General features: G+C 36.6%; 1 long non-coding RNA gene across 1 annotated transcript in view, besides 1 other annotated feature; it reads right to left on the reverse strand.

The window, feature by feature from the left end:
• LINC01170 (long intergenic non-protein coding RNA 1170) overlaps positions 1-15,088 on the reverse strand; it is a 378,727-nt gene that overhangs the window by 17,058 nt on the left and 346,581 nt on the right. The window lies entirely within an intron of this gene.
• Positions 10,697-11,447: an enhancer, noted in NCBI's record as "OCT4-NANOG hESC enhancer chr5:123423241-123423991 (GRCh37/hg19 assembly coordinates)". NCBI's record gives its function as "activates a minimal SCP1, AML or CMV promoter by ChIP-STARR-seq in naive H9 embryonic stem cells {active_cell/tissue: H9 hESC(naive)}" and the evidence as "EXISTENCE:reporter gene assay evidence [ECO:0000049][PMID:30033119]".

Raw genomic sequence — 15,088 nt, forward strand, 5'->3', positions numbered from 1 at the left:
ATGGTATCTGTTGTGACATCTCTTTTCTTATTTCTGATTTTACTTCTTTGGATCTTCTCTCTTTCTTTTTTAGTTAGTCCAGATAATGGTTTGTTATTTCCCTTTGTCTTTTTTATAAACTAGCCTATTGTTTCCTTGATCTTTTGTATTATCTTAATTTTGTTTATTTCTGCTCTGATTTTTATTATTTCTTTCCTTCTACTAATTTTGGGTTTGCTTTCTTCTTGATTTTTTAGTTCTTTGAGATGCATTGTTAGCTTATTTATATGACATCTTTCTAGTCTTTGATGTAGGCATTTATTACTATAAATTTGCCTCTTAATACTGATTTTCCTGTGTTCCATAGTGTTTGGTATGTTGTGTTTCTATTTGCATTTGTTTCAAGAAATTTTTCTGTTTCACCCTTAATTTCTTCCTTCATCCTTTGGTTGTTCAGGAGCATGTTGTTTAATTTCCATGTATTTGTATAGTTTCAAATTGTCTTCTCATTTGTAATGTCTAGTTTTATTCCACTGTGGTTAGATAATATGCTTGAAATGATTTTTATTTAAAAAAAAGTTTTAAGAATTGTTTTGTATTCTAACTTATGGTCAGTCATTGAGAATATTCCATGTCCTAGTAAAAAGAATGTGTATTCTGCAGCTGTTGGGTGATATGTTTTATAAATGTCCATTTTCTCTATGGTGCAGTTTAAATTCAATATTTCTTTGTTGATTATCCACCTAGATGATCTGTCTAGTGCTGAAAGTGGGGAATTTAAGTCCCCAACTATTATTGTATTGGGATCTATTTTTCCCTTTGGATTTGATGTTTGCTTTATATATCTGGATATATATCTGGTATTGGGTGCATCTGAATTTACAGTTATTATATTTTCTTGTTGAAGTGATTCTTTTATTATTATATAATGTTTTTCTTTGTCTTTTTTTTTTTTTTTTTTCTGAGACGGAGTCTCGCTCTGTCGCCCAGGCTGGAGTGCAGTGGCGGGATCTACGGCTCACTGCAAGCTCCGCCTCCCGGGTTCACGCCATTCTCCTGCCTCAGCCTCCCAAGTAGCTGGGAGTACAGGCGCCCGCCACTACGCCCGGCTAATTTTTTGTATTTTTAGTAGAGACGGGGTTTCACCGTTTTAGCCGGGATGGTCTCGATCTCCTGACCTCGTGATCCACCCGCCTCGGCCTCCCAAAGTGCTGGGATTACAGGCGTGAGCCACCGCGCCCGGCCCTTTGTCTCTTTTTAAAGCTTTTAACTTGAAGTCTGTTTTGTCTGATATAAATATAGTTACTCCTGTTTGCTTATGATTTCTATTTACATGGAATATCTTTTTTCATCCCCTTACTTTCAGTCTGTGCATCTTTATAGGTAAGGTAAGGTAAGTTGACCAGCTTAAGGGCTGATGGTAATGGCAGACCATTCCTCCAGCTAGAAGTGCAGTGGTGAGGATTGTTTTCTCTGCTTTGCAGGACCAGAGTCATAGCTGATCCTTGGCCCAAGTTCCACATAGCTGGGGTTATGGCATTCAGCCACCCATGTGGGCTTGGCATGACAAAGTTGGTACCCCAGTGCTGGAGAGGTGCAGTGGCTACTGGCTTCAGAGTAGGGCACACTCCAGAGGTGGCTCTGGTCTCAAGATGGAACCAGGTTTCAGCTGCTTGGCTCACAGGGTGTGGGGGTGGGGTAGGGAGTACACACCATGTGCTCCTAATTTGGAACAAGGCAATCGCATGAAGTCCTGACAGCTCTCCAAATTCAACTCAGGGATTCTGAGGACTGTGGGATTCTCCTGTTGTAAAAATTGTGGGTGTTTGAAGTGGCAATGGGGGTCGGTGAAAATTTTCTGCTTATGTTTTCCTTGCAATGGGGAGTCCTTCCTGACTCTAGGCTGATCATATTTGGATGGGGTTGATGGGGCTGCAGATGCTGGGTGCTTCCATTCTGCCCTCCTGAACTTCCAATCACCTCAGGTGCCTCTCCACTTCAGTACTCTCCCATTGACTCTCCTGTCAAATCTTAGCTGTTTATTTGTTGTCTTGGTCCTTGCTTGCAGACCAGCTATCTCTAGTCAGCTAGAATGCCAGCTATCTCTAGTCAGCCATCTTGCTGACGTCACTCCAAGACATAGTGTCTTGAAGCCTTTCCTTAGAAGCATCAAAGGAGACGCGAGGATTGTTTATTTGTTTATATCTTTAGAAAAAATAGCTCAGTATTAATGATTGAAAAAAAATTTAGTCCCATCCACTTTAAGCTCATGTTTTTGTAGCTCCTCAGATCTTGGCAATATTAACAACTTCAGCACTTATTATAAGACTATATAAACCAGCAAAGCACTTCTTAGGTATTTATGTTTCCCTTGCTGAAGTTTTGAAAACATTTTGGTTGTCTCCCATGGGATGTGATTTCCAAATTCTCAAATTACCCTCTGTTGCTTCCTTTTCCAAAAGATAAAGAGCTACATTGCATGCTTCTTTCTCAATACTGTGTATACTTAATGACATTTTTAAAACAAGATTTTTTTCCTTCTTTTTTGTTTCCCCAGATGCAGATACAAGTGAAGGATAAAATTTACCAAGTAGTGTATTGAGTGTCTATTGCTGAGTCCTCAAAAGCCATGCATCACTCCAAAAAGTAAAAGGATCTTAATCTTTTAGCATTTCTTCTCTTTTAACTCTCTGACAATCTCATTTCTCTGAGTATTAAGAACATAAATGTAGTGTCTACTTATACATAAATGGGGTCATCTACTTCTGACATCCTCATATTGGTTAATTTGGTAAAGAGCTGCTTGAACTGTCCTTACATTGAATCCATTCAGCAGCTCTTGCTACTTGTCATAGTAGCTCAGACAGTTTCATCCAGGGCGGGTATCCACTGAGAAAGAAGGTTGATGAAACTGGATCCTTTCACTCTGACACATACTTCTTGAAAAAGTTTCTAGAATGGGTATACACAATGTACATTTCTGGTCTTTTGATGCATTTTCCTCATTATCTAGATTTTCATATGTGTAGTCATTTAGACAAAGTTCCTTTTCTTTGCACTGCTATATTCAGTCAACTGTTGACTATTTCATTAACCCTCTCCTTATGGTCCTAAACTAGGACCTAGTTTACATCCTATCTAGTTGAAAGTGCTTCTTTATTTATTTTCTGGCAGTGCCACACAGTTTTTTTTTTTTTTTGTTCTATTTAGAGCTTTTCTTTGTTGTATATGTTTATATATTTTATTATTACTTTCATGAGCAAGCAGAGCCCAGCAATTCCCAGGGGATGAACAGTCTATAGTACATATCTTTTAAAAATGGCATATGTCAAAAATTCAGATTATTGTTTCAAAGCAAAAAGTCAAAAGACTTCACTAGTACTTGAAGGGGTAAAGCAAAGAAGAATATGGAGGTGAGGGGTGGAGATATCAGACCTAAATTACACATTTCATCTTCTGGAAACCTCAGCCAATCCCTTCTTTCTTCAGAATCCCATGAGCAGACTATCAAAGACCCATCTCCCTCTGAGCCTTCCTCAGTAATATCCTCCTTTCCTTTTGAACTTACCAACTTTAATCCTGGCAGTACTATTTACCCTACCTTCCTGAGTCATTCTGTGGACATTGTCAAGGCTTGTTTCTCTCTCCCACTCCACTAGCTAATGTGTATATAAACTGATAGTTTATACATTCAGTGTGTACTTTGGTTTAGTTCTTTGTGCTTGTGTCCAAATGCATAGCACATTTGTCTATCAGAAATGTTGAGCAAGGGGAAAAAAGCAATCAGAAATCAAGTTTGATTTAGTTCAAGTTGACATTTATAAAAATAAAGAGTTGAGCCAGGCTGTGGACAAAGTAGAAGGGGGTCTGTCTGCCCTTCTTACTGTTTATATTAGTAAGATGAGTAAGGCAGTGAGAAGTTAGAGATCTCTATTTTAGACTATAAGCTTTTGAGGGAGTGCACAGTAACACTTTTAAAATATATTGCTATATCTTTTAGAATGATATTTGGAAAAATGTTGCCTTTAATATCACCATATTTTAACTTGTCCAAACACAGAGGTTTTAATAAGGCAGTGATCTCCAAGCCTCTTTAATTGTGCATCTTTATTAGTAAAAAAAGTGGAATGTATAGTCCCAATACACAGACATATCTATATGGATTATTCACGTATATTACTTTTACTTTATATATTATAAAGCATAAAAATTAAAGTTAAAAATGAATAAGATAAAAATAATTTTTGAATAAAATTATAATATTTTACCCACACCCTAATGGATTACTCAAGCAAGTCTGCCGTACATGTACCCAATGATAGAGGCAACTGTATTTGACTATTTTCTTGCGATATCATATCTTAAGAATGACTAAGTCCTGGCAGTTATATCTCTGAATTTATCTCAAATTACCACTTCTTTTCTTTTCCCACCACTGTGGCTTTCAATTAGAATCTCTTCAACAACCCTTACCTGAACTCTCTTGCTAGTCTCCTTGCTTCCTTTAGCTCTTCTTCCCAATGCACACTTTACCCAGTGGCCTGGATGCTCTCTCCAAAATTCAGTACTCATTGGTCTCTGCTCTGCTCAAGTCCTTCATTGGCTCTGCATTGCCTACAAGACAGAGCTGAAAGCTCTGAGCATCACACAGACTGTCCTTACTCACCTTTCTAGTTTGCCTTCCTCCTTTCCCACCTGACTCTCTAGCTATGTTAAATTGACTGCAGCTTTTGAAGGCACCCTTCTTTCTTTTATTTTCACCTTTGTGATATTTTATCTTCCAGAGATGGCCCTTTCTTCTTGTCTGCTTATCAAACCTCAATATTCAGCTTAAATATCACTTCCCTTAGAAGGTTCTCTTTACTTCCCTTTGCAGAATTAAGCACTTGTCTTCCTGTGTTTAACACCTGTTTGTGTCAAATTGGGGCAATTATCATACTACTCAAACAATTTCTTTCCATGTCTCTGTGCTCCTAAATGATGGAAACTATGCTCTTTTTTATTTTCTATATTAGGCGTGAAGCAACTGCCTGATCTTCCTTAATAAACAGAGTAGATGCACAAATATTAATTGAACAGTGTATAATTTTGGTGGCAGTGAAGGAAACATTTTAGTGGGCAGTCTTCAACAAATAAACAAAAATATTTATACAATATATAGGAAAAATACTTCTTGTCTAGAGTTTTTATTATTTTTTTTCACAGTTCTTCAGCTTTAAGGTCATTTTCAAAGTCATGCCTCTTATATTGACCAGTCAAAATAATTAATAAGGATAACAATAAATAACATTTATGAGTGTTTACTATTTGGCACTGTGATAAGCAATGTATTGCAATATCTAAGTTAGCTATTTCGTAGCCCTGTGAAGTATTTCATTACTAGTATTTCATTCATCTTGCACATGAGCAAGTTAGTGAGGTTCTGAAGGGTGCAGGGTGACTCTTTCCAAGGAAGTGAAAATGACAAGGTTTAGTAGATTTCTAACTACAGGATGTTTACCCAGATGTTCTGCTGTCTTCAGGCTGCATATCTCCAATTCTCTTTTCAGAATACCTACCCTGAAATTCAGTTCCTTCCATGCTAGGTTGGAACATTTCCAGTGTTCTTAGGATAGCTACAAGTTAAATGTAATAAATATGACGGGTTTACATAATGTATGTTGCATACAGTTCCTAAGAGTTGAGAACTCTTCAGAAGTCTCCGGACCAGACTGTTTATATTTAAGTCAGATGATTTCTTTCACTGAGTGTTTCGGCTTCACTACATTATCTCTTGTGTGATATTATCATCTGCCATAGTTGAGATAAATACTCCTGCAAATGCAGTTTTTTTGTTTGTATATGTTTTGGATAATTCTTATTACATCAACAACCTCAGCAGAAATTGATGCTAAATTCATTATTGATTTATCATTCTTCATGGATACCATAATGAGATTGGCCTCAGAAATAAATAGGTGGACAGGGAGACAGCTTAAAAAATTGTGTTTGCTTTTTATTACGTCAAAATGTTGTTTGCTAATTTTTTAATTAGAAAATTATAATCCATATGATATTCACTAGAAATTTGCAACAAAGATGAGACAAAAGCAGTAAGACGAGAAGAATTGAATGATGCCAAATAAATTTAAAATGTGAAAAAAAATCTTTCAGTTTACTCAACTGCACAAAATGTACAGGTGTTACAGTAGTATTTTCTTTCTTTCTGGTTTGGAATAAGTCATTATTTGATAAAGTAGGTAGGTAAGTGACTATTTCAGTAAGTAACCTGAGAACAATTCTGCTCCTCTGAATGTGAGAATGAAAAAGATTTTTTCTTTAACAAAATTTTAATAGAAACTATGAACAACTCATAGTAAAAAAAAATTGAAAACAAATTGGATTTTACATTTGATAAAGAAAATATTTTGAAAATCCTTTGGAAAATGTGAGCTATTTAAGATTCATTTATTATTTTCTGTATTCAGTAATATTTAATACAATTCATCACACATGTAAGACTGTACAAGCCTTCACAAAGCAAACTAAATAGATTTCTATTTACTAGGATCACATGTACTGCAACAGACACCATTGAAAACATACCCAGAATGGGATATAGTTAAATATCCAATTCAAACATCTAAAGACATGATTATGTGAGTAATTATTGATTATCCTGTATTTGGATTTCACTGTGTTGGTATTTGAGAGATGGCTAGTGACTGTATTGTCATATTGTCATCAAGACTTTCTTTTTTATTTTTTTTTAAATGGGGTCTTGCTATGTTTGCCAGGTTGGTCTTGAATTCTTGGCCTCAGCAATGCTCCTGCCTCAGCCTCCCAAAGTACTAGGATTACAGGCATGAGCCACCACACCCAGCCCTCATCATCAAGACTTTTAATTGCAGTTATCACCTGCACTTTCTTCCCATTTAACTAGGAAAAGCTTTATAGGTAAAATGGGTTTTCAAGAGGATCCTGAGTACAAATGCAGGAAGATCAGCATATAGTAAAAAAAACAAAGAAGATAAAGAATTAGTAAAAGAAAACTTCAAAAGGATCTCATTTAGTCCAGATTTATGCCAGTGACTCATATATATACTTTTACCCTGACCTAGCTCCCAAACTCCAGATTTACATACATGCTTGCTTGTCATCTCCACTTAGACGTCTAAGAATACTTTCAGATACATATGTTTAAGATAAAATTCTTGCTCCCACCCTCTCCCCATTCCCCAACATGTTGCTTCCCTAGTGTTCTCCATCTCAGTAAACAGCACGATCATCCATCCACCCAGCTATAAGTCCTCTAGAATCTAACTCCAAAACGTGTCCAGATCCATTCACTTTCTGTCCCTTTATGCCACCACTAGCTGTTGTCCAAGCCACTATCATCCCCTGCCAGATTACTTCCACAGTGTATCACCAGTCTGCAGTCTCACAGAGGTCAGCATTACATTTGCCAGCTTAATGCAAATGGTAGCACATCTCCATTTAAAGCATTCCAATGGCTTCTAACTCTTAAAAAGTAGAACTCAGACTCCCTAGCAAGACTTTAAGGATCTACATGATCTGGTTCCTAATCTGATTTTTCTTCTACCTCATTTTTTATCACTCTCCCCTTAGAAGCCTGCCTCAAATGCCATATTCCTTATTTTTAACTGATGATTCTTCTTGCTTTAAACTCTTTGCACATAGCTGTTTCCCACAAAACAATTCTTTCTTCTGATCTTCACTTGTCTTCCTCCTTCTGGTCATTCAGGTGTCACTTTTTCAGAGAGGTATCACTTCTTCAGCAGGACTTTCTACTGCCATCCAGTTTAAAGTAGCCTTCCTTCTCATCCCCTGAAGTCACTTTGTCTGACATCAACTTGTTTCATTTTCTCCTTAACGCTTAAACTACCAGAAATCACTGTGTGTATTTATCACCTTATTAGTTCACTATATGACTTACTAGTCCATAGTCACCTTGGAGGAGGGTTCCAGGGCCACTTATTCACCTCTGTGTCACCCATATTGAGAATAGCCCATAATCCGTAGTAGATTGGTAAATGGTTGTCAAATAAAACAATAGAAACTAATAGACTCATTGACTTTTCAGGAGTTAGGAGAGAAAAGGGAGTTTGAGAAACTTGATTTCCAAGGGTGCAGTCTTAATCTATGGGAAGAAATATCTGAGATCATCTGTGTATCAATGGGGGTAAGCATCCACACTCACTCGTTGAATAGATTCAATTTATGACTGTCAAAGGAACTCACTTAGTCAAGTCTGATCTATGTACTACTGGTACACTATTTAATATGCATGTTGTGAAGTAAGGATGAAGCTGCTTGAATTTTTCTGCTTTTTTGTACAATTTATAAAAACAGGTGAAGTTGTAGGGTGGCTTGCTACTTAGCCAAGGGACTAACATTATTATTACTCACTTAAGCAATGTTTCAAGTTCCATTGTCTTTGCAATTACTTCAGAGATGAGCGATGAGAGCACAAAACTAAACTGGTAAAATAAGCCAACTACAGCTGGAGACCATTAACAGCAAAATTGGGTATGCAGAAGAGAGCAGTGGGAAGCTGCAGTTATCTCAACTGGAGAAGCCATGTGGAAGTTAACAACATTGCGCTGAATCCTGATCCACAAATAGTACCAACAATGCTTTCTGATGTTATTCTTTCTGCCTCCAAGCTTCACAAAGCCCTCCATTGATTCTTTCACTTATTCTAACAGTTTCATGTGTGTCTATAAATTGGAAAAATATAAGGCAAAATAGTGAGTGCCCCTGGAATTGGGAACAAGATGTTAAAACATCTCTGAAATTGAAGCCAATGACCATCAAAACACAATGGCAAAGATGAGCCTCACAGAGAAGTAACTGAAGCTCCTGGGAATGATTTGTAAGAGTTTTGCTGCTAAGCCTAAGGTGTCTCCTAAATCTTATCAATACTAGAAGTTATTATAATTCCCTTCTGGGAAATATTAAGCTAAAATAAGATAAGATATATAATTTTGTCTGCCAAGAGGTTGCTTTCAGTACAGAACATCTCTGCATGGGGTGGGATGGGAGTGGCAAAGAAGTGGGGAAGTAGATATGTTTGACTGCTAGCTTATTTCTGAAACAGACATTGGTCAAGTTACCGGCAGCCCATCTCTCCATCAAACTTCATCTAGCTTCAAAATCCCATATGAGGAAGGGAAGCACACCTTCTTTTTACAAGTTAGGGGCTGATATGGTTTGGCTGTGTCCCTATTCAAATCTCAATTTGAATTGTATCTCCCAGAATTCCCATATGTGGGAGGTACCCAGAGGGAGGTAGGTAATTGAATCATGCGTGCCCGTCTTTCCCGTGCTATTCTCATGATGGTGAATAAGTCTCACGAGATCTGATGGGTTTATCAGGGGTTTCTGCTTTTGCTTCTTCCTCATTTATTCTCTTGCCGCTGCCATGTAAGAAGCACTTTTGCCTCCCGCCGTGATTCTGAGGCCTTCCCAGTCATGTGGAACTGTAAGTCCAATGAAACCTCTTTTTCTTCCCAATCTCGGGTATGTCTTTCTCAGCAATGTGAAAACAGACTAATATCTTACTCCCTAAAAAGACAGGACACTCACTACTACACAAGATCCTCATTGAGGACACTCCTTTGATAAAATAAGAACAATGATAATAATGAAAGTTATTTAGCCTTCCCTTGTAATTTTATTGACTTATATTAATTCATGTTAATTCGATTTAATTGAATTAAAACCTTGGAATAAACAACCCATTCCTCCTAAGCTTAGAAGATACACTGACCTTCCTCCTTCTTGGGAAACTGCAATCACAAAACAAAACCTAGAAATGCTGAGATGTGTCAGATTTTTAGAAAAAGCTGTGAAGGCTTAGGTCTGTTCTCTCCTACCCTCCCACTCCCCAAAACCTAGCTTTGCCATAGCCAGCTGTATATGGCAACTGGTGACTTGTTTGAGTCTATCTTTGCCCAAAAATTCTGTGCTTGGAACCCAGAATAAAACTGACTTTTAATAATGTATTATAATGGAAAACTATTATCCAAATTGGATAATACTTATACTTTCTTATATCAGTAAATGAATAAGATTTTTTGCCAGTAATAACTTTACCAGAGCAGTTTTTTTTTTTTCCCGGCACTTTGGATGGAGTTTTAGTAAGTCAATTACTAGTGGTAACCATTTCTTTCCAACCACTTTCCTCTACCACTACCCTCTCCCATGATATCATTATATGTAAATTGGATTCATTTAACCTGTATAGAGAAGCTCATCTTTATAATAAAATCATTAGACCATAATGACAGATGAAATGGAAAGGCGGCAGAAAGAAACAGGCATTTCAGAAATATTTATGTAGCTCTGCAGAATGGCGGGTGTCAGTTGCAAAGTTACTATTAGCTAGAAGGTCTTACTGTGTATCCAATTTAATACCTGGTAATATGTTTCTCTCAGTCATCCACAGGGAAAAAGTAGGGCAGTGGAACCCGGGAAGGTTTGGGAGTGGGTCCATCTGAAAGGCAATGTGTGCATATTTGACTGGTTTTGTGTGCATGTGTGTCTGCTTGTAAATGAGTGCTTCTAGTTTGGAAAAATCTGACTCTGAGGCCTGATACATTCCTTATACATTAGGGTGCACTTTTTCTTAGCTTCAGCATTAGGGAATAGAAGGCATCTCTTTTAGCTCCTGCCCAGTGACATCCTTTAGACTTTAAATCATTTCCTTTACATTTTATTTGAAAGAAGAGGTGCCTAAGAATAATAATGCATCAATGACTTCACCATTAGACTTTAGGGATTTGACTGCTGTAATGCCATGGGCCCTTTTTAAGTAACAGTTTTTTTTTTTTTTTTTCTCTTTTCTTTTCACTTTGGTAGTTCCATCAAACTGGGGCCGCTTTATTGAAAGGGATTCATCTTTTTTTTTTTTTTAAAGAAAGAAACATTACTTAAGGACATAAGAATAACACAATGTGAGGCTGATTTCCCCTAAAGATAGAATAGCAATGAAATGAAAAAGAAACAGTGACTATGTAGAATCTAATCCTTCCTTAGAATAAAAAGCTCAAGTTAAAAGAGCAAAACTAGCCCATGCTTCTTAAGATGAAAGTGATGGTAGGGGCATTGCTATTTTGACCTAATGGGAACTGCAAAGGGAATAATGAGGTTACCTGACCCCATGCTAGTTTGTAAATGACTCCTTTCTTACAGAACAATTCTATTGTCAGTAGCTGTCTAACAATTACATTCTCGACTAACACACACACACACCCACACGAGAAAATGGTGGGTGTACCCCCCTTCCTTTCTAAACCCAAACATTCTTGATTTCTACCTCAAGTGTTGTTTCAGTGGTTTTAGAGCAATTTAATTCCAAATAATCCAACATTTTTCAACCAGAATTTTTGCCTTTCTCTTGAACTATCCTTGCTCAAGCTCCTTTTTAAACATGTTTAATGTATGCATTTGTCTTATCTTTGCTGCTTTATACAGATTTTAAAAAGACATTTGGGTACAGAAACTTGAGTCACTATTGTGTCTCTTTAGGGACCCACTCAGGGAGTGATAAAAATTGTTCTTGTATCAGAAATGCCAGCCAAGGCAGATTTTAACCATGCAGCCCTGTCAGAGATCCCTCCTACTTTTACAAAGTAAATAGCATTCTGTCTTGCCTGTCACCATTTGATCAATGTCTTTATGATAACACAATAGCGTTATGAAAACAGTAAAAGGAAATATCAAAATGATTAACACAAATGAGAACTTTGCAACCTGAAATGGGACTGCAAAATGCAGGGTGGGGTGGAGGAAGCAAGATGATGAGGGGAGGGAGTAACAAAGGAAACCAAATGGTTGCACTCCATGCATGCTTCGATTGGCTTTATTGATTTCTCACCCTCTCATCGCTTCTACCTCCAAAACAGTCAGCCCACTCAAGACTTAATTATTTTCTTTCTGAGAGAGAGAGAGAGCAAGGGAATGAGAGCAAAAGCGAGGTGGGGGTCGGGGAGAGGAAGAGAGGGAGAGAGAGAGAGAGAAAATCTGTTCATAAGGGAAGCAGTCATTGCTGCTCATTTTTTAAAAGCACTTAAGGGTCATTAGTCTAACACTGCAGTGAATGTATTATTCATTTTGCCTTAGCCCAATTTCTCAGCTAAGAATTTTGCAAGAAAATGATACACAGTTCAGTAGAGAGGTGATTGATCAAGCCAGAAGGAACAGAGTTTGGGCATCCTGATAAAAATTTTTCTCAGTTTTCTCAGTTAGCATAAATCAATTTTATTTATGTAGTAACACTTGAATACTAACTACCCAATGCCATCCGTCAAGACAAAATTGATGACTATACCTTTAGGTTAATATTACTTGAACATTTCATTCTGAATAATTTATACACATTTCTGTCTGAGTGTCAATTCGCGATTGTTTATTTGGTTTCAGTAAGTATAGCTGAACCACAGCTTTTATTAAGAAAAGATTTTCGCCTCTGTTTACTTTGTGCATTAAAGGGGCCTGTCCTAGTTTGGGTCCTTGATATTATTCCACAGGAATGGAAACACGGAACAATTTTGTGCCAAATCTAGGGTAGCTTACATCTTTTTTTTAAGAGCCTTTTGCTAAATGATTTGTGCCATTCAGTGGAGAAAACCGCTAGGATTATATATAAACAGATAAAAAGCTGGCAAAGAGAGGTGAGCAGATATTTAATAATAACACTTACATGTTGTTTGTGAAGAGGATGTGAGTACATTGCATTAACAGCCTCAATTGCTGTTTTCACTCTTTGCCAAATAATCTAATCTGTCCACCAAGACTAGTGCTAACACCACCCTCTCCTCTTAGGTGACATTAGATGTGTGCATTATTATTCATCTTATGAAGAACGTGATACATTTTATAATCACTCCATTTGCTGCTGCTTCTTCAGTTTTATGGTAATCACCTTCCTACTGGGCAGATAACATGAAAGCATGTGCATGTTCAGATTCTGTGACTGAAATGAATGGCTGATGATGAAATGCTAGTAAATTTTACACAATAAGAAAACAGAAAGGCTCCTTCAACTCAGCTGAGGATCTTCACCTAAATCAACCTGATTGTGTATTTTCACACAAAAGAAGGAAAGTCTTTCATTTAATCTGAAATATTCTGCCCGTTACATTTATAAATTCTTTCTTTTCCTCTCCATCCCCTGCCCCCCAACTCTGTCTTACATGCACGTTCTTTTACTTTTGAGAAACTTTCCCTCAAGCAGTTATCACAGAGTTCAGTCTCAAGAGAATGTCTGACAACCAATGGGAGGAAGCAGCACCTTATACAAGGTGATACCTTAGACATTAGAGGAATAGTATGGAAATGAAGCATGAATTCCAAATAAATCACTCACTCTGCAGTTTGATTTCTAGAAATAACATTTCTTCTGTGTTCAGAGTCCACATTAGCAGGAACCAGCAGAGCTGCAGGATTTTATAGGTGTGCACAGATACTGTACATACACATACACAAACACATACTGTTGGGAATGATTCATGGCTGCCGCTGGAAAGTGTACCTTCAGATTTGCCTCAGATATAATTAATGTTAAAGGAATAAAAATAGAATCTACCCATAAAAGATACACGTATGTAGGCACCGATCAAAAGGTAGCCCATGCTTAACTTTGCTTTGACAACCACATGTGCAGTTTCATCTCCTAAATAGTTTGAATCATTTATTCAATTCAACAGATAAACACTGAACTCCAATTATTTGGAAGACACTGTTCAAGAAACCACAGAGTTGCAGAGATGAGTAAGTCTGAATCTCTAAATAACTTTACAGGTAGCTTAAAGGAGGTTGAGAATACAAGTAGTATGATAAATATCATGTTATGTATGTATATATAATATGTATAAATAAATGGAACAAAGCCAGATTTTATAAAAGCAACATAATAATACTTCTGAATTATTAGACCATGATACATTTTATTAGGGGCATTTATTTTGGTTGTGCCACGTCTATGATTAATAATGCTGTGTGTTCATTAAAGTTTGTACGACAAGATTTTAATTAAGAATTTTTAAGTACTTTGTACATACTGTATTGTTATGCAAAGATTAGAAGTTATTAGAGTTACATGTGCTTTTTGGCTAAGGTAAAAAAGGTATTGTGCATTTTTACAGTCTCGGTTGGGAGAACAGGCTCCTAAAACATTGTGCTATAACTAGACCAGATGTAGATAACGTCCAATAGAATTAAAAACTCTGGTGTTGTGTATTGTTTAAAAGGTGAGTCTCATTACTTTGTAACAAATCCCAGATTATGTAATCATTGCATATGTAATCCAAATCTTATTAATATTAAAATAACACCTCAGTAAATATCTATGTATTGTCAATATTGGGAATATAACTCTATGACGTTAATTTGCCTTCATCTATCTTGTTAAGTGAAACATGCCTTTAACAAATTATACAATTTTTATAAATTAATAGAGATATGATTATACATTTATTGCTTATATAATTTTATTTAATTAAGGGACAGCCCTATAGATAATTCTTATTAAAGTTTGATATTCTTAACAATCAATGCTACTGAAGTAACAATTATAACCATTGACCATTTCGAATGTTATTGTCTCAATTAAATGCTGACTTTAAATACTCAATTTTCTGTGCAGTTGACCTACAAAACTTCTGAAATAACTTTAAAATTATTTCTTTCTTAATCTTAAACTTTAGCTTAGCATATATTTTAAAAACCTACCCAGATGGACCAAAACAACTTGATGAGTATTTCTTAGGGGTGACTTAGACCCAAAAAAGGCCGGAAAATGCTAGGACTGGTACAACAAGTAAATGGCTGGATTCTGGTTCTTTGATAAAACTCCTCAAAGACACCTAGTCTTTTTTTTTAAGCAATAGTTATTTATAGAGTTTCTCAGAACTAAAATCTGTCACCGATATGTCACTAATGTTTTCAGATGAATTTCAGTATTGCATGGACAAATGGGATTGTTTATGGGCCAATAGGTGTCAAGATAAACTAATGACACAAGCTGCTCCTGTCGATACTTTCCATGATTCCATTGGTGGGGTGGGTTTGGAGTGAGTCTGTTTAGCCATTGTGTATTTCTGCA

Source organism: Homo sapiens, chromosome 5 (assembly GCF_000001405.40).
Source record: "Homo sapiens chromosome 5, GRCh38.p14 Primary Assembly".
In the NCBI taxonomy this organism is placed as follows: domain Eukaryota; kingdom Metazoa; phylum Chordata; class Mammalia; order Primates; family Hominidae; genus Homo; species Homo sapiens.